The following is a 21,093-nucleotide window of genomic DNA, read 5'->3' on the forward strand; positions in this document are numbered from 1 at the left end:
TTCCCCTTCCTTCTCTCCTTTTGGCCTACAGATCCACAACTGTCCTACAGCATAAGGCAGTGGTTAAATTGTGGAAGCTGGAGTCATACTACTTGGATTCAGATCTTCTCCCTGGTATTACTGTGTGACTGTAGGCTGTTACCTAACTTCTCTGTGCTTCGGTTCTTCCATCTGGGAAATGAGGATGAACTAGTACCTACCTCATAAAGGTTGTGATGAGGATCGAATGAGCTATTATTTACAGGGTATGTTGAGCCCTGCCAGGTACACAGTAAACTCTGTGGAGCTGGAGTTGAATGAATCAACCTATATGCTTCACCACTTTGCCTCACTTGCTTCTTAATCCAGGACCTTTGCAATGAGCTCAGAGCAGTCTAAGTAGAAGAAAAGGTTTAAATTGTCATCTTCCCAGTCACTTGCTGGAGCAGAGCTGTGACAGGCTAGGAAAACCCGGTGCACCGTGGCCAAGCATCAAGAGCCTCAGAGCCTGCTAATGGGGATGGGGGCTTATTTTCTCTTCCTACTTCTCTGATCACAGAAGACTGTGTTGGTCATGCCCTGATCTACAGGATCCCACACACTAAACCCATGGACTCTGATGTCAGCCTCAACTAGGAAAAGAGGAAGTGGATTGCTACAATGCCATAATTGAGCAAATTAGAAGGATGCCTTTATAGAGCAGTGGATCTCAGCGCCGTCAGCACATTAGAATTCTCCAGGGAATGTATAATTATATACGAATAGTCAGGCCACATCCAGGTTTTAAATAAAATACCTGATTATCAGATACTGTGAGCATCATGGGGCCTTTCTCCTCTAAATCACAGGGAATGTGCCAGTGATTTACCATGATGATTTATGTCAGTGATTCTCAGCTTGAGCTGCATCAGAATCCCCTAGAGGGCCTGTTCAAACTCAGGCTGCAGGGCCCCATCCTGGAAGTTTCTGATTCCATAAGTCTGGGTTGGAGCCTGGGAATCTGCATTACAGCAAGTCCCCAGGTGATGTTGAGGCTGCTGGCTCTGGCACCACACACTGAGAAGCACGGATCCATACAATGAATAAAAGAGAAAAAAATAAGACACTGTCCACCAAGTCTTCTCAAAGAATATGCCTACTTCTTTTGGGGATTAAAAAAAAATGAGGCCGGGCGCCGTGACTCATACCTGTAATCCTAGCACTTTGGGAGGCCAAGGAGAGTTCAGGATTTCGAGACCAGCCTGGCCAGCATGGTGAAACCCCACCTTTACTAAAAATACAAAAATTAGCCAGGCATGGTGGCACGTGCCTGTAGTCCCAGCTACTTGAGCAGCTGAGGCAAGAAAAGCTCTTGAACCCGGGAGGTGGAGGTTGCAGTGAGCCAAGATCGCACCACTGCACTCCAGCCTGGGCAACAGAGTGAGACTCTGTCTCAAACGAAAAAAAAAAAATTGCCCATACTTATATTTTGAGCAATTGAAAAATGCCTGTCCCACTCTTTTCCATTTTTCTTCCCTCTCTCCTATCTCAGCCATGCACCCCTGTAACCTCCTGCCATTGAAATTCTCGGCACCTGTGTGTCACAGCGCATATCACGTGTAGGTCAACAGCTTTGCAGTGACAAACAAAGAAAAAGAAAAACTGACTGATGCTTGAAGCATTGTAGGTGAGAACACAGAATAGTCTTTGCTGCCTTTGGTGGCAGGTCACATGGATCAGCCCACACAGTGGAGTTTGAATTTCCTCTTCTTACAACAATTGAGTCACTGAATTGTTGAGCAGACAAATGACAGCGTGATCTGAAAAAAATGTTTCTGACTCTGTGTCTAAACCTCAATGTGGGAGCTTGTATTGTTGTAAGAAAAACGTAAGTATGGCTCATGCATCCAATGTACTTGATTTTGTGATAATTTTCAGTTATTTTTGCTCATCTAAGTACCTCTATGCGTCGATGAAGATGAAAAAATAAACTGACAATCTTTGGAAGAAGAAAATCTTACCTCACCATCTCCTCCAAGTCTCTTCTCCGAACATTCACAAGCTCATTCTGCTAATTCATTTCCATTCTTTGACTACATTAATGATCTGTGGTTTTCATGAGCTGTTTAACAGTGAAAACAACTTTTAGAAGAGATATACAAAATTCTTTTTGTAAGATGATCTTGAAAATGGTCAAGTTAGTAACAGAAAGTTCCATTTTCATCAAACTTGGTACAGGGACTCAACCTTCATACTTTTTGGGAGATTTCTCCAAATACACTGTTTTTGGCCCAGCTAAATAACTAGTCAATGTGATCAAGAAATCTTAGAACTGAAGAGACCACAGAGATCATTAAGTCCAAGTTCCCATTTTAAAAATGTGAAACCGCTGGGCGTGCTGTTTCACGCCTGTAATCCCAGCACTTTGGGAGGCTGAAGCAGGCAGATCACGAGGTCAGGAGTTTGAGATCAGCCTGGCCAATATGGTGAAACTCCGTCTCTACTAAAAATACAAAAATTAGCTGGGCATGGTGCCACGTGCCTGCAGTCCCAGCTACTCAGGAGGCTGAGGCAGGAGAATCGCTCGAACCCGGGAAGCAGAGGTTACGGTGAGCCGAGATCGTGCCACTGCACTCCAGCCTGGGCAACAAAGCGAGACTCCATCTCAGAAAAAAAAAAAAAAAAAGTGAAATCAAGGCACAGAGACATGAGCTTACCCCTAGTCACACAACCCATTTGAGAAACTTGACCACAGGTGAGTCCTTTCCTTCTCCTTATCTATCTCCCCCGACATGCCCACACACTCCACTTTAATGCATGCCCTTCATTGTCTGCATATGTCCAAAAACATAGTGCACCAATGCAGTCTTTTGCTAGTGGTTCAGTGGAATTGGTGCTCTCATTCTCATGGTTTAGGAATATAATTGTACTTTAATGGTTTATTTATTTTATTAATGTCTGTCATCTTCATTACAATGCAAGTTCCAAGACAGGGACCATATACATAAATAACTCGTTTATATTTCTGGCACCTCTGATAATGTTTGATCCAGTAGAGATGCTCATTATATAGCACTGTAGTCACTCCTGTAATCCCAGCACTTTGGGAAGCCAAGGCGGGCGGATCACGAGGTCAAGAAATTGAGACCATCCTGGCCAACATGGTGAAACCCCATCTCTACTAAAAATACAAAAATTAGCCGGGCATGGTGGCGGGCACCTGTAGTCCCAGCTGCTTGGGAGGCTGAGGCAGAAGAATTGCTTGAACACAGGAGGTGGAGGTTGCAGTGAGCTGATTGTGCCACTGCTCTCCAGCCTGGCAACAGAGGAAGACTCCGTCAAAACAAACAAACAAACAAACAAACAAAAAACACTGTAGTGATAGAATGAATGACTCAATGAAGTAACAGAGAGGCTGAGATTCAAAGGATATAAGGAATAAACCGGGAGAAAAGACAGGAAAGAGGATTCCAAGCAGTGGGGATTGTATGTGCAAAGATCCTACAGTGAAAGAGAGGGTGGCACTTAGGAAGAACTGATTGTTTTTCCTTGTGGTCAAGGTAGAGTTCTGGAATACAGTGAGAAACAAGGCTGGAGGAGTAGACAGTATTTACATTATAGACATTTTCCTAAGCCATCCATTCTCTGTCCTTACTTAGTTGAGTTTCTGATGCTAAATCCTGAATCTCAGTGCACTGGTAGGCTCATCTAGCCTAAATTCCCACTTAATGGGTAAAAAGAATTTCAACTGGGCCCCATCCCAATCTCAAAACTGTTATAGCTAAAAACTGCTCCTTACTCAGTACTTAATATGTACCAGGCAGTGTAGTAAGCCTTTAAAGAGATGAATTCACTCCTCTAATCATTCGTTTACATGCTGGAATATGATCTTGCTTTAAACTGCCAGTCTGTCGATCAGGGTCATATATTTCAGGGACCTAAATCAGCTCCCTTGTTACCACAGTCCCTGGATTCCCTGCTGCCTGTGCTCTGATTAAGGAGACTCCAGCAGCTCTGCAATAAGGATTGAGTTGATTAACATCTGGTTGAAAATCTCTTCGCCCATATGAACCTGAGACAAAGCCATCCAAAGAGTAATTGATGGCAAAGACCCGAAGTTGTCTCTAAGATGGCAACTCGAGGGCTTAGCTGCACAGATGAGAAGATTAATAGCAGAGTGGCCTTGGAGTCACGGATACCTGCATTTGACTTCCAGCTTTCTCATTCACATGCCAGGTAACCTTGGGAACTTTCCTTTTCTCTCTGAATCCCCATGTTTACGTATGAAAAGAAGACACAAATACTTACACTAAAGGTGGTTTAAGGATTTAACGAAGCACCTTAGTACAGTATCTGCCCCATGGTGGGACAAAAGAAGCCGCAGCTGCTATTAATGCTGTATTGTTAGCCAAAGGGAAGAGAAGGGCAGATGTGGTGCAGAATTCTTACGTTCAAAAGAAGGAAGGAAAATCCATTAAAAACAAGCGCATGCAAATCGTCATTTACTGCAGTGACTGGGAGAATGGATTGTCTTGTTCATTTTATGTTCTGGTTCTGGAGGTAAACTGCAAGGTCCTTTTTATTGAAAGTTCATTCTGTCTTCCACAAATGTTATTGAGTCCATGCTATTTGCTAGGCACGTAGGAGAAATGAGGATAAATGAGCTGCTGATCCTGCATTCACCTCGGGAGTTGGAGAAGGGAGAATACAGATTTTCTATAAATGTGTGGGAAGGCACTTTTCTGCTTAAATACAGAATGCTAAGCATTATTTAAAATTTATTGAAAATGTTACCAGGGCCTCTCATTGCCTAAGACAGGTGATGGAGAACAGAAAGGCCGCAAGTAGATATGTGATGAATTTGTGTTTTCCATCCATTAATCTTTATATAAAAGTATAGATTATTATATATTATACATAATACTCACATAGCATACTAATCTTAATTGTGTTATTAGTAATTCTATTTCTCTATTACTTATTAAATAGATAGTATATATTATGTATATATAATTATACATATACACATCATGGCTATATATATTAATTGTACATTATTCTAGTTATAAGTCATATATTTATCCATTATCTAATACTCACATATTATATGTTATATAATAATATAAGTACATAAGTGATTTGGATTACCTATATTATCTCTCTCTTTTTTTTTTTTTTAACCATGTGCATGTTTTTCTTTAAAATAGAAATAGTGAAGTTCTGCTTCAGTCAGAACCTGCATAGGTTAATTAAATGCACGCTTTACTCCAACTCTACAACACTAAAGGACATGAAGGCTGCAAAACGACTGGGAAGGGCTGCCCCCATACACTCAACTCCTCCAGTTTCTCATGCATCCGTCCACCAAGTTTTACCAGACATTTACTATGTGCCAGGTTCTGCACTGGGCACAGGAGCAGAGGGCCGGTGGAGACACAGTCCCTGCCCCCACAGAGCTCACAGATGGGGCAGGCAGAAGCCACAGAGGCCGTGGTGGTCACGCTTCGGGAGAAAAGAACCACAAGTCAAAGGGGCACAAAAGGGGGCAACCAACTCTATCTGGGATGCTGGAAAGGATTCCTGGGGATGGAGATGACTGAGTGGGAATAGCCCTGATTGGAAGAAGAAAGAGGAAGGGAGGGCATAATGAGAAGGGGGAAAGCATGTGGGGAAACTGGCGTTGATGCTAAAATAGCATAGTCACGCAGGATCTGATAGCAGGATAGCAGATATGCTGCTACTGCAAATGTAATAAGACCAAGAAAAATAGTAAGAGAGGACTTAGGAGTAGTGATAGCAAGTATGTATTGAGCATTGATTGTTCTAGGCACTTTGATGCATTATATCACGTAATCTCACAGTAAACCTAGACTGTGTAGAGTATTGCTAACCAAATATTTTAGACGAGTGAACAGAGGTGCCAATACGTTGCTCAGCTGGTATGTGTGGCAGCCAGGAGTGAAGCAGATCAAGCTGTTACTCTAGTGGTGTTGGAGCAGACATCTAACCTCTGTAAACCTCAGCTTCTTCCTCAGTAAAATAAGGTGACGCTGGGCACAGTGGCTCATGCCTGTAATCCTAGTGGTTTGGGAAGCCAAGATTGATTACTTGAGGCCAGGAATTCTAGACCAGCCTGGGTAACATAGTGAGACCCCATCTTTACAAAAAAAAATTTTAAAAAGGCTGGGCTTGGTGGCTCACACCTGTAATCCCAGCACTTTGGGAGGCCGAGGCGGGCGGGTCACCTGAGGTCAGGAGTTCGAGACCAGCCTGACCAACATGGAGAAACCCCGTCTCTACTAAAAATACAAAATTAGCCAGGCATGGTGGCACATGCCTGTAATCCCAGCTACCCTGGAGGCTGAGGCAGGAGAATCGCTTGAACACAGGAGGCAGAGGTTGTGGTGAGCTAAGATCGTGCTGCTGCATTTCAGCCTGGGCAACAAGAGCGAAACTCCATCTCAAAAAAAAAAAAAAACTATTTGGGTGTGGTGGCATGTACCTGTAGTCCCAGCTACTGGGGAGGCTGACGCAGGAGGATCACTTGAGCCCAGGAGTTCAAGGTTGCAGTGAGCCATGATTGAACCACTACACTCCAACCTGACAGAGTGAGACCCTGTCTCTAATAACAAACAAAAGTAAGATGAAAGGTCATTCTGAGAATGCCAGGGTTGAGGGCTGCACAATGCCATGCTCATGGCAAATGCTAACTGTGGTGGCTGAAGTTCGGTGTGTGTTAGGGAGTAGAAATTGGAAAAGCGGAGGAAATAAGTGAATGAGGGGAGACTGGGTCAGATAATAGGGGCCAGTCTAGTGTGATAAACTAGATGTGTGCATTTTATTCTGAAAGCTGTGATGGACATTGGGAAGTCCAAAATAAATAGTGACATGTTCAGTGTTGTGTTTGAGAAATGTCACTCTGACCACAGAAGGACTTTTGGAAACAGCCAGGTCAGGTGGAGGAGTGTTGTCATAGTCCAGGGTGAGAAATGTGATGATCCAGACTAAGAAGAGACAGTTATAAGAGCTGTCGAGGACAAAGAGATAACACAGTTTCTGAATATAGGGACGTGGGGTTGAGGGAGGAAGAGGAGGCCAGGATGCTGCCCAGATTCCTGGCTTTAACGCTGGGGAATGGTGCAGTCCATCCACTGAAGCAGGAAACACAGTAAGAGGAGTGTTAAATTGCATCCCACCCCCACCACTCCAAATTCATATGTTGAAGCCCTAACCCCCAGTACCTCACAACGTCACTTTATTTGGAGATAGGGTCTTTACAAAGGCAATCGAGTTAAATTGAGGTCACTGGAGTGGGCCCTCATCCAATATGGCTGGTGTCCTTATGAGAAGGGGAAATTCGGACACAGAGTGTCATAGAGAGAAGACGGCGTGGAGAGACGCAGGGAGAATAGGCACATCTACAAGCCGAGGAGAAAGGCCTGGAATAGATCTTTCGCTCACATCCCTCAGAAGGAACCAACCCTGCCAACACCTTGATTTTAGACTTTGAGCCTCCAGAACTGTGAGAAAAGGAATTTCTGATGTTTAAGCCACTGGGTCAGTAGAACTTTGTTACAGCAGCACTAGGAAACTGACTTAGGGAGTAACTCATTCAGAGATGGCCACGAGTTAGGTTTTGGATCAGTTGAGTGTGATGTGTCGCTTTTGGGACAGCCAGGTGGAGACAAATGCCAAAACGATAGAGACCCAAGTCCAGGACTCAGTGGGCAGCTTGGGACCGGAGATTAACACATGCCAATCATTTTGGACACTCTGGCATTCATAGCACAGTGCAACCAGTACAGAATAGAAATTTGAAAAATAGTTGAATGAATAAATGAATATCCTATTTGCCTAAGGACAGAGGGCGAAGGGAATACAGGGAGACTGGAACTAATTGTAATTTCCCATCCCAGTAGTAAGAAGGTTATCTCAAGCGCTGTCCATAAGGAGCTATAACTATGACATATCTGAGGCCAGCAAATTTTAGAGAATTGCTGCATTGGTTGCTGATATTTACCCTCCCTAGAAAAGATAGTCCTCTCTTTGCTTTATAAAATCTAGAAGGCAGGAGAATTAAACAAGTATCAATGCTATTCTTAGGACAGAAAACTATAGCCTGTCCAGAGTCTCAGGTTCATGCCCATATTCTGAAATGTTGACCTCCAAGGGAGTGTGCCAGCAACATGTCTATTTTAGGTAGGAAGTTTAAAGCCTGCTTTGCTTAAAATGTCAAAATAAGTAGACAGCATAACAATGGAAAGTGGTAATAAGTGGAAACCAGGAGACCTTACTTTGAATCCCAGATTTGCCTCTGAAAAAGTGGGTAACCTTAACCTTTCTGAATGTCTTTTCCTTTATCTATAGAGCAGTCAGGGGAGGGGGTAATTGGATGATCTTCCAACTCTGACATTCTGTGATTCTCTCAGTGTTGCCTTTAATTGCAACGGGTGATAAGATGACATTTCCATAAATTGACCTGCCAACCTGATTTAGTCCGCCAGCATGAAGACATGAAAATAAGATGATAGGCAGAAATTAACATCACAGATGACGCTGGTAGAATATTTTCCCTCCTTAAAATGGCAGATGGAACACCAGAAAGAGACAACACTTGGCTTTAGAATGCACCTTAGTTACCAGAAAACTGGGTTTTACTGGAAAATGCCTGAATATACATGACCACAACATTTTGTCCAATGACTTCAAGTTTGACCATACTGAAAAACGATATGGAAAAATAAACCTGCTCCTAACTGCATTTGTGATTTCCCCTGGACCACTTAATATTTAAAACTTGTGTTGACCTCTTCTCTATATGCCTGGACATCTCGGCAATGGATATAATAAGCCCCTAAGGGGGAAAGGTAATTAGGATTTATTATCTAAGTGTCACATTTTGTGCCAGGTCTTTGACCTGTGTTGCAAAATACCTTATTTACACTTCCCTGTAGAAGATGCTGTCAGCCACATCCTATCTTTTCTGCACTTAACATGCCGAAGGTTGCTTAGGACTTCTGTCTGCTGTGGGAGCCCACTTGACTGGAAGAAGCCAGATAGGCACAAGAATTACTATTGCAGAAGCAGCCCTCAACAAGTATCAGATGCAAATGTGCTGGATAAATACTCCGGCTTCCTTGCTCATGGTTGGGATAACTCAGAGGCGTATTCTACACTTGCTCACAGGGTTCCCCAGAGGGATTGAGCTCCAGTTACACATGGTAGATATGGCCTTGATAACACATCTTTTATTGGCTGCCTTCTTTTACTGTCTTAATACCTTGTTATTTCCGGAGATCATTGTCCAGGTAAAATACCTACATCCAAATCGTTATCTTAGGTTCGGCTTCTGGGGTACCCAAACTAAGACATCTGCAAGAGCGCTGTGAAGTAGGTGGCATTGTAAGATATCAGTTTTTAAGTCTTGGTGCTTGGATTCGCCTGATTCCCATTGACTTTCCTCTATGCCAGTGATTCTTAACCACAGGACATTTTGTCCTTCCACCAAGGCGACACTTTGCAATGTCTGGATACATTTGTGGTTGTCACAACTGGGAGGATGCTACTGGCATGTAGTAGGTAGAGGCCTGGAGGGCTAAACATCTGACAATGCATAGTACAGTCTCCTACCACAAAGACTAATCCAACCTTAAAAAGGCCCCCCGGGCACAGTGGCTTGCGCCTGTAATCCTAGCACTTTAGGAGGCTGAGGCGGGTGGATTACCTGAGCTCAGGAGTTCGAGACCAGCCTGGGCAACACGGTGAAACCCCATCTCTACGAAAAATACAAAAAATTAACCGGGCATGGCAGCATGTGCCTGTAGTCCCAGCTACTTGGGAGGCTGAGGCAGGAGAATCGCTAGAACACAGGAGGTAGAGGTTGCAGTGAGCCGAGATCGCACCACTGCACATTGCACTCCAGCCTGAGTGACAGAGTGAGACTCCATCTCTAAAAAAAAAAAAAAAAAAAAAAAAGTCAATAGTGCCGATGGAGAAATCCTGCTCTACACCCAGCAAGACTGGCTATGATCTGGTGGCTCCTATGTGTGACATAGCTATTGTCTTTTCCTTCCAGGGTCAAGCTGTGGCTCAGCTGTGTTCCACTGTCCCCAACGTGACTGTCTTTGGAACAGCCTCTACTTTCAAGCATGAAGCAATCAAAGACTCTGTGACCCACCTCTTTGACAGAAATGCAGACTACGTGCAAGAAGTTAAAAGGTAAGATGTTTGCTTTTGAAAAAGCACCAGGCTGGCCCTTGCTCTGCTCTCAAAGAGCAGTAGCACTTATTTAAAAGAGGGATAATAATAATATGTAGCAAACATATATTGGGGGCTTAGTATTATTAGCTCTGTGCCAAATATTTCACACGCATTAGTTCATTTAATCCTCTTAACCTCACTATTATCACCAAGGAACGAATCGGCTAACTTGGAAAGTTAATGTATTAAAGTTACGCTAGCTCCTATTTGACCATCTTAACACATGGAAGTTTATTTCTCATTCATTCACATGATAGCTTAAGGTGGATATTTGGTGGATGATCTTCTGTAAGAGCATTCAGAGACCCAGGCTCTTTTCATCTTATGGTTCCACTATTGTCTTGGGTCTAAAGGTCCTTTGCTTCTAGCCAACAGATGGGCAGACAGCACCAAAGGGTCATGAATAGGAGGTTTTATGGGCCAGTCCCAGAAAGAACACACACCCTTCTCATAGTCTAGCACTACTGCTCAGGTCGTTGGCTACGCCTTACTGAAAGCAAACTGAGAAACCTTGTCATTGGGTGCACCCAGAAAGGCCTGGCACTGGCAGTAAAGGGTGGAGCCTGGAGTCAAGCCAGGCATTTCAACTTCGGAGCCCGTGATTTTCCTGTATAGATAGCACCTCTCTGAACAGTGAAGCATGAGCCAGAATTATCCATAGGAAGAAAGGGGCAGGGAGGGGGCTGCTCTGGGAAAGGAAAGTCGTGTGCATGCATACTGAGGAATGCAAGAGCCTCAGAGGCTGGGAGAACTACAAGAAGGCTTACTGGGGTGCAAGTCCAGGGATGTCTTGTTATCTCATCTAATTATAGGTGTTGGCAAAGGGACACCTGGGGGGAAAGGGAAGAAGGGGCATGAGGTGAGGCTGAGCAAGGAGACAGGTATCAGATGCACATAAAGACCATGTACACCAATCCAGCAAATGTGGACTCCAACCTGGGTGTGACCAAGAGCCACTGACAGACTAAAATGGGGCTATGATTGATTTGAGTTTTGAACAATCACTGGTGGTGCAGAGGGGATGGATGGGTAGAGGGAGGCTGGGGCTGCAAGATCATTTGCTGGCTGTTGCAGTCACCTGGGGGAATGATGGTTTATAACCTGTGATTCTGAAGTTATTGATCATGGCCACATGTTTGTCAGCACAGGGAAGCAGATGGAAACCCAGCTGCCATCATGGTTTTAGATGATTTTGTGTGTCTCACTCTGGCTATTGCTCTGGGCCCCAGGCTTGTTCTCAGGGTCCATGCCACTCAGAGCTTCCGAGAGGATTCAGATTTGGGCCAGAGCCATTGTTTCGGCATTCTCATTTTCCAACACAAAATTGTTACGTACAAAGGTATTACGTTGTCCAGATAGAATCATAATAAAGAAACAAGGCTGGGCACAGTGGCTCATGCCTATAATCCCAGCACTTTGGGAGGCCAAGGAGGGCAGATCACTTGAGCCCAGGAGTTTGAGACCACCCTGGCCAACATAGTGAAGCTCGATCTCTACCTGTGCCCCCCCACAAAAATACAAAACGTAGATGAGCATGGTGATGCATGCCTGTAGTCTCAGCTACTCAGAAGGCTGAGGTGGGTGGATCGCTTGATCCCGAGAGGTAGAGGTTGCAGTGAGCTGAGATCATGCCACTGCACTCCAGCATGGGTGACAGACAGCAAGAGCCTGTCTCAAAAGGGAAACAATTTTCTTCAAATCACAGATTAAGATGGGAAAACTGAAGGACAAGTGGATGGGAGAGCTGGTTATTTGAGGTGATAGTTTTAGAACAGATTTGGTGAAACTTGGGAAGTTTCTTGAAAAGGAGGGGGTTCTGATGGTCTTAGTTTTCAGATTTATTTTTCAATTTTGAATGCAGAGCATTGCATATAATTTAAGGTTGTCCCAATAGTTCCAGCAGGATGTGAAAGGAAAGCTTAAAGCTAGATGTTAGAAGTTGACCCTCTGTTTCTCAGATGTCTAGAGGCTGCAGGCTAATTTTGAGGACATCCATTTGCCCAGTTCCATAGCTCTCAGGTAATTCTTCTTATCCTTTTTTTTTTTTTTTTTTTTTTTTGAGACGGAGTCTCGCTCTGTCACCCAGGCTGGAGTGCGGTGGTGCAATCTCGGCTCATTGCAAGCTCCACCTCCTGGGTTCACGCCATTCTCCTGCCTCAGCCTCCCGAGTAGCTGGGACTACAGGCACCCACCACCACACCTGGCTAATTTTTTGTATTTTTAGTAGAGACGGGGTTTCACCATGTTAGCCAGGATTGTCTTGATCTCCTGACCTCGTGATGCGCCCATCTTGGCCTCCCAAAGTGCTGGTATTACAGGTGTGACTGCGCCCGGTCAGTTCTTCCTATCTTTAACTTGACTCTCTTAAGCTGTGGTCTGGAAAATGAACTATCGTTGTCCCTTCAGTCATTGTTTCTTTGACTTCCTTACGTGTATTTTTGCAAGCATTCTTTCATGTACGCATGAATACAATTGCTTAATACATCTGTGCTTTGTGTCTGTGATGGCCTGGAGACTGTGCCAGAGCCAGAGATCCAGCAATGCCATCTTGAGAGCCACTGTCCTTGTGGAATATAGAGTCTTAACGGAGGGAGAGGGGACAAAAAATAAAACTATAAAGAGAAATAACTGATTCACATTTTCGACATGTGCTCTGGTAGTGAAATGCAAGGTGCTATCGAATACTTACTGATGGAGAAATCAGAAACACTGTCAATCGCAGAGTGGGATTTTGGCTGAGAATTGAGGGATGAGAAGTTGGCCAAAGGAAGAGCATTTCTGACTAGCAGGGATGCCATGGGCTAGGATCCCACATCAGGAAAAGCTTGCTGAACTTATGAACCTGAAAGGAGGCCAGTGCAGCTGGCAGGATGTGGGGAGTGGGAAGAGAAGGGAGATGGCATCTCTTCTGAAAAAGTAATAGCCCATAACCAGAGAACTCCTGCCTGCTCCATTTCCTCAGCATCCTTCCCATCCTCTATCTTTCCACTGCCCTAGATCTACTCTCTTAGCCCCCACATCACTGGTGTCTGCTGATGTCAGAAGAACAGAAGGCATTTGAGACCCACCTCACCCTCACCTTCCTTCAAAGGTGACTTCCCACAATTCATTGTGTTTTTAAATAGAGACCTTGGGATTACACTCAGAATGCCCAGGAAGTTACAGATACGTTTACACAACCCTCCGTCCTAGCAAACCTACCCTCAGGAAATAAGAAGAGCAAAGCTACAGGTACAAGGCTGCCTGTTGCAGAGCCAAACCCTGCTTCTGCTTCATTGTAAGTGCTCAGCACATGTTGACAGAGTGAATTATAGCATTGTCTGCAATAGTGAAAATTCAGAACAAGCCCCTACAATCAACAGAAGGGAAATAGTTCAGTCGATTATGCCACACCCACATACTTGAGTATTGGGCAGTCCCTTAAAAAATGATAATTATGAAGACAGCCACAAAATGAAAAAAATGCCCATGGTAGCACATTGCGTGAAAAAAGCAGAATGCCAGATTCCATCTACTCTGTGATCACAGCTTTGTACAAATTCTCGGTGCATGTAGACTTAAAATGAAAGGAAAGGGAAAATATCCAACTGCCAACATGCGATAGGAGTGGAATGCAGAGTGATTTCTCTTTATTTTTTGATCACAGATATTGTTACGCTATTAGGTGTACAATGAACCAGAAAAAAAAAAAAAGATAAAATTTCTTGAGATGAAAACTCTTTTATAAGCCAGTCAATCGGGAAGCCTCCTTTGAACACATTCTCAGCCTTGAGGCAGGTGTTGTAAAGGGAATAGAAAAAAAAATATTTATGACACAGACCTAACCTTTACATCCGTTACTTTCTCTCTCTTTAGGAGGAGAGAGATGATTATGAGTGAAACCAAGCCAAAGCGTTAGAAACCTTGAGTTGTGTGTACCTAACTGCAAGGGCTTTACAAATAAGGAAAAGAGAAAGATCAGAGAGAGCACGTCAAGATGGACAGCCCCTCAGGTGCACTTGAAGGTTGCGATCGATTTCAGTAGGTGGAGGGGGAAGCGTGAGAGAATCCACACAAGGGAATCTTGGACAGAACAGGGCAGATAATAATAGCCACGCTTTGTTGCTCTCCTGCCATCCTGCTACGAGTTCAATTAGACCATTTTCTGTGCACCTGAGACAATCCTGCAAGGTGAACATTCCTCATTTTACAGATAAGGAAATTGAGAGGTAGGAACAGATTTGGCCTTGGAGGTGTGTGAGTCTGTCAGCTTTCTATTCTGCAAAACTCCTCTTGGTTTACAAGAGGACTCAAGGAAACTTTTGGGCGTGAAGCATATGTTCATTACGTGGACGGTGATGAGGGTTTCACAGGTGTGAACATATTTAATCTCTCACCAAATTGTACACTTTAAATATGTACAGTTTACTGTATGTCAATTATATCTCAATAAAGCTATTAAAAAAACCTGCCTTTAAAAAAATCAAACAACATTTTAAAACTTCATTGGGTGGAAATGGGTACACAATATCATCTCAGACCTTTTGTTCATTCATTCATTCATTCATTCATTCATGTAGAGATGCTTCTCGACTTACAATGGAGTTACATCCCTGTAAACCCATTAGAAACTTAAAATATCATGAGTCAAAAATATATTTAAGGCCAGGCTTTGGTGGCTCATGCCTGTAAATCCAGGACTTTAGGGAGGCCGAGGCAGGAGGATCACCTGAGGTCAGGAGTTCAAGACCAGCCTGGCCAACATGGTGAAACCCCGTCTCTACTAAAAATACAAAACTTAGCCAGGTGAGGTGGTGCACACCTGTAATCCCAGCTACTCAGGTGGCTGAGACAGGAGAATTGCTTGAACCCAGGAGGTGGAGGTTGCAGTGAGCCCAGATTATGCCACTGCACTCCAGCCTGGGCGACAGAGCGAGACTATCTTAAAAAAAAAAAAAAAGAAAGAAAGAAAACCCACAAAACACAACATTTCAAAACATTGGGTGGGAAATGGGTACACAATATTATTTCAGACCTTTTGTTTTTTCATTTATTCTGTACAGATGCTTCTCAACTTAAAGTGGAGTTACATCCTTGTAAACTCATCATAAGCTTAAAATATCATGAGTCAAAAATGTATTTAATACACCTAACCTACTGAATGTCATAGCTTAGCTTAGCCTACCCTAAATTTACATTAGCCTACAGTTGGGCAAAATAAACTAACACAAAGCCTATTTTACAATAAAGTGTTGAAAACCTCGAGTTGTATGCAGTCAGGTATACACAACTCAGGATTCTTAATGCTTACCAAATACTGTACTGAAAGTGAGAAACTGAACAGTTGTATGGGTACATCACAAAGTTGAAAAATTATGAAGTGAGACCATTGTAAATGGAGTACCATCTATATTAGTGAGGCCTACAAACAGACTACGAAGATACAATGGTGAGCAAAACAAGCAAATCCCCATGCAAGACAATGGGGTTGGCAGCTGATAGGGAAGTACAGAGCACTGTGGGGGCACAGGTGAGCAATGCCTAAATGGAAGCCTGAAGAACACATGGGAGCTCTCTTTTGGGTCTTCCACATTGTATGAAGTAAATACTGTGCTTATTTTTCAGAGGGAGGCAAGGCAAGCCTAGTTAAGTAAATATCACACAAATAGACGTGACGGGACTCAGTTCCAGGTGGCTGTAGTGCCAGAGCTTGTGATCTTTCTAGCACCCACACTGACTCTCACAAAGGAAGTGAGGGCGGCTTGCTCCTCAGCCAGGGAGGAAGCCAGATTGCCTGTATTAAAGCATGTGGTTTTGTGAGGTGCTTGGATGGTGCTTGGTTAGATCAGAGCTTCCAACCTCAGCACTGTGGACATTTGGGCTGGGATCATTCTGCTATCGGTGGCGCTGCCTTGTCCATTGCAGATGTTGAGCAGCATCCCTGGTCTCTACCCATTAGATGCCAGTGGCACCCCCCTGCCCTTCAAGTCATGAAAATATGAAACGACTGCAGACCCTGGTGGAGAACAGGGCTAGATTGATGAGACTCTTGAAAGCTCTTAAATGGAGTAAACATTGCATTATGTCAGAAATGTAGAGTTCTTTGCAGATTTGAAGCAGTTAAGCACTGTTCAGAAAGGTGAAACTACAAAAAAAAAATGATCTGGCTGCCATGTACAGGAATGGTGAGAGAAGAGATCTCCAAAATCAGGAGAATGAGTAGCAGAAGGGGGAAGGGAGAGGCAGTGCCTATAGAGATTTTGAAGGAGAACGAGAGAATGACCTATGACTAGGGAAAATACTGCAAGATGAGACCAAGACGTCTTTTCCTTTTTGTTGTTGTTAGACAATGAGGAATGGAGCTGTAATGACTTCCTTTAGACAAGATAAATACAGTGTGAGAGTGAGAACTCCAGGGGCCTGCATAACAGGCCAGGGAAAGTGGGACTGGAGCTCCATTGAGTACAAAGCCACTCCCTTAGGCTGGATGTGGTAGTTCACACCTATAATCCCTGCACTTTAGGAGGCCAAGGCAGGAGGATAGCTTGAGGCCAGGAGTTTGAGACTAACCTGGGCAACATAATGAGACTCCCATCTCTAAAAAACAATTCGCTGGGTGTAGTGGTGTACACCTGTAGTCCCAGCTACTTGGGAGGCTGAGACAGGAGGATCTCTTGAGCCGAGGAGTTTGAGGCTGCAGTGAGCTGTGGGCATGTCACTGCACTGCAGCCTGGGCAACAGAACAAGACCCAGTCTCAATGATTAAAAAAAACCACCCACTTCGAGCATTTTCCAAATGACTGACATGAGCTGGCTCTGGAAGTTAGGAAACTGCGATAAAGCACAATCTCTAGCCAAAGGAGCACAAAGCCCACAGAGGAAGGAATCAAACTCCCGATCGAGGGGGAGCAGCTAATTGTTAAAATGACTTGAATCTTGCTATCTGCTTCACCCGATAGCAGTCATAGGTGAAGCCAAGGAGTATAAGATCAGAAAAGGCAGAGATCAGACCGAACTCCTGCACTTCTAGCACAATGCCTGGCACATAATAGGAGCTTATTTTAAAACTGGTGGAAATTAATAAGAGTCTAATCACCTGGAAAGAATAGGGACCAAGGGATCTAGAAGGCATTCCTGGAGGTAGTATTGCGAAGTACATATGGGAACTACTAATAGTAAACACTTACCAAGAAGCCTACCACACATCAGCACTGGGCTTGGCCCCCTGTGAGAAACCTGTCACGTGCTGGGTGCTGTGCTTGGCACTCTGTAAGAAGCCTACCGTAGAGTAGGCATTGTGTCCAGTCCTCTATAAGAAGCCTATCGCGTACCAGGCACGGTGCTTGGCACCCTGTGCAAAGCCTACTAAATGCCAGGCACTCGGAAATAGTCTCATCCTGTGATGGTTAAAGCTGTGGCACAGATGAGTTCTCAGAAAAAGGGATTCAGAAAGAGAAAACAGAGTGGAGAGCCAAAGACCCAGCTGGAGAGCAAAGTCACCATAAAGAGGAATACTTTTCTTGGCAAGGTCAAAGGGTTTCTCTCTAAGTACCGCCTCTGTTGGAACCTACTGCCACTCAAGAGAAATTCTTCCCTAATCTGTGTGGGCAAGAAGGAAAGAGGCAGCATTCACCATCCAGGGCCCGGGGCTGGGGACACAGGAAGGACAGACATGAAGGTCTTGGAACAGCAACTCTGAAATATCTTACTGCTGAATTTGGCTCATATAATCCCCGAGCTGGGGCTATTTGTGTTTGCTTTTTAAATCCGCAGAGATTTATGGCAGCAGGAAAAAGCACACAGAGGAATTGCTGCATTTGGCCTTCTGCCACACCTTCTTCGCTTTCATGTAATAATCATACATATGCAGGCAGTGGTGAACACCCCCAGAAACCGGAGTCAGGGGGCACAGAAATGATGAAGATGGTCTTTGTTCCTCTGATGAGCCTTCCGGCTCCACTTGTGATTTTCATGATTATTTCATTAAAAGGGCTACTGCAGCGCTTTTCAGTGTGGGTGTAACTGAGGCAGGGTCAGTCCCAAGGCTGCTCATGGGACCAGGAACATTCTAAATAGACCCAACTGAATCCAGTTCAGTACAGTCTTTCTATGGGGTCTGTCATAGAAGGGACTCAACAGAGGTGGAGCACTTTTCAATTTTGAAATTCTTACCCGAAGGAACATTTCTACCCTTGAAAGGAGCAATAGCTGCTGGAATGGTTTGACAGAAAGAGCAAAAGCATCCTCACCCTCAGGTGCTGAGAATGATATCTGCCTCTGCCCAACTTCTCCCCCTCAGAATCCACCTCCCCTACCTCCTCCCACCCTCCACCCCACCACTGACCTTCAAAAGGATGCAATGACAGCAGGAAGGAGAGGATTTGTGGTTCTGTTGACCCCCAGCCATGCATGTGATCCAACTGTAGAAATGCCGAGAGAGAGGCATGGACGGGGGCAGGTGGCCTGAATGTGAAGGAGACCCACAAGTGTCTCCTTCTAGTGTTAAGCCCAAGAAAGCACCCCCCAGCTTTTCTCATCCCTGCTAGGTACCTGCATGGCATAGAAGTGACAGTGGTGGTCGCCTCAGGGTTGGCCGCTACTTACCCTATGAAACCCTAATTCACCTTTGATGCCCTTGCCTGGTTTCTAGATGTGATGGAACAAACTAAGGTCTTCCCACTCTATGCAGTGGGCCCAGGGGTGAGTCACCTGACCCTCACTGAGCCTCATTTTCCTTGTCTATCAAATGGGGATAATGATGGCCCCAGAGTCAGAGGATTGGCATGAGGCATAAATGTAGCCTGGATAACAGAGCAAGACCCAGTCTCAATGATTAAAAACTTACGAACTTCTTAGCATTCTACTTGGGACATAGTAATTGCTCAAGAGTGTGGCACACTCTCTTTGGAAGGTCAAGAGCATCAAGCCTCAGCTCCAGTCATTTCTGGGCTGGTGTCTCCACCCACCCTGAAGGTTGAGTTGGAGAGGTTTTGCGTACTCTTTCTTTTCATGCCCTTTTCCCAACCAAAAGACTTGAAGGTGGGGCATTTTGAAAAATGGTAATCAATCAAAGCTACCATGGACCCAGAGCTTACCATGAACTGGGCTCTGTGTTCCATTTGCATCAGTTCATTCAAGCTTCATAAAGAAAATGTAGGTGTTATCACCATCATCCCCTTCCACAGTTGGGGAAACTGAGGCACAGAGAGGCTAAGTAACTCACCTAAGGTCACACAGCATGTAAGTAGCAGAAATGAATGCTTAACACTGAAATAAAATGTATATTCCTAAGCCCAGTACTGTGTTGCCCTTGAGCCACCCCTCTCCCCTGCGTACCCACCTCCATGTGAGCTGTTGATTGTGATAGCCATTCTTAGGGTCCTTCTACAAGGAGTCAGTGGCCAGGCCTCCTGATTGCCATGGTTGGTGTCCCAAAGCCTTCTCACTGTCCTAGGTCAAGCTATCATACTATTCTCTGAGAAGTGCCTTCCCTTTGTCACCTGGCCAATTTCTGCTCTGAAAACAGACCTGGGGAGAAGTGAGGGAGACAGGAACGCAATTACCCAGCCCATAATGCAAGGTGAAGACCTGACCACCAACCTGAAGCCCACCAACCAAGAGTCCGTGTGGTCCAACTCCCACCTGCCTCTCCAGCCCAACCTCAAAGCAAGCGGCCCTTTGTTTTCATGCTCCAGCCACAGTGGCTGCTTCCCAGTCTTCCTCCCACCATAAGGCCTTTGCACATCCTGTTCCCTCTGGTTCCCTCTGCTGCCAACCCTCAACAGAGGGTCATCTTCCAATGCTCGTAAGTTGCTCTATTGGAGCAGTGATCACTCTGTGTTTGGTTCATTTATAGATGTCTGTCCTTGTACACCATGAGCTCCTGGATGGTGAGGGCAAACTTCTGCCTTCTCTGTGTATTCACAACTCAGCATGCACAGTGCCTAGCATGTAGTAAACACTCAGCAAATGGTTATCCAGTGGCTGGAAATTAAGGGTAAATTTGTGGGACTCTGAACTTGGGTCTTTCCTATAAACTCTCGGGGAAAACCAGCTTGAAAACAGAAATCTTTTGGTCTAGATGTTTGATCTAGGCCAAACTTTGATCAAATGTAATCAGACTCTGAATGTATGTGTATTTATTTCAAGACAAAATTTAAGCCTGGATTTTTCAGAGACTAAATTAAATTGGCTGCTTCTCAGAGCTGCTTGCTAAAGTGATGCTTCCATACTTAATACTGGCTTGAACATTTATTAAGTCTTAAACTCAGACTGGTGAAAAGGCCATCATCTCTGGAGTTAAACTAGACCTAGAATTGAATTCCAGCTGTGCTAGTTACGTAAGCTTGGGCAAGATTGCTGCATCTGTAAGCCGTGATTTCATTTTTTTAAAAGTGGAGTTAAAATGCCTGCCTCATAGGCTTTTTGTGAGGGTTAATTATGAAATAGCTGTTATATAGGAGAGCTCTGAAATATGAGTTTCCTTTCCGAGGAAGCACACATATAGAGACACAGAATAGCAGTCTTAAACTGTTTTCTTCATCATCTTTCATTCATTCAGTTACCCATTCATTGAAACACTTGTGCATTCCTCTGGTCAATCACTATTTCTTGAGAAGCAACACTATATCCAACAGGAAGAGAAGGGCCATAGATATTATCATAAGCAGCACAAACATGGTCCAAGGGGCTTAAATTTTGGTGGAAGAGAAAGTCAATAAATAAATAATTACAACCTATGATAGGTACTAAAAAGTATCTCCAGTGTAGACATTAAAGCATAAAGGAAACTAAAATGGAGATCCGTTTTAGGTGGAGTGATTAGTTACAGGTCCTCTGGAAAGATCGTATGTGGGTGAGGTCTGAAGGATGAGAAGGAGCCAGCTCTAAGGAGAG

At 44.3% G+C, this 21,093-nt stretch overlaps 1 protein-coding gene across 1 annotated transcript in view; it reads left to right on the top strand.

Annotated features, from left to right (window-relative positions):
* Positions 1 to 21,093, top strand: part of VAT1L (vesicle amine transport 1 like) — a 191,544-nt gene that overhangs the window by 64,151 nt on the left and 106,300 nt on the right. Inside the window, exon 4 of the mRNA NM_020927.3 lies at positions 10,034 to 10,176. Within this exon, the coding sequence (NP_065978.1) occupies positions 10,034 to 10,176 (143 nt within the window). The remainder of the gene's footprint in view (positions 1 to 10,033; positions 10,177 to 21,093) is intronic.

The sequence above is a fragment of the Homo sapiens genome, chromosome 16 (assembly GCF_000001405.40).
Source record: "Homo sapiens chromosome 16, GRCh38.p14 Primary Assembly".
In the NCBI taxonomy this organism is placed as follows: domain Eukaryota; kingdom Metazoa; phylum Chordata; class Mammalia; order Primates; family Hominidae; genus Homo; species Homo sapiens.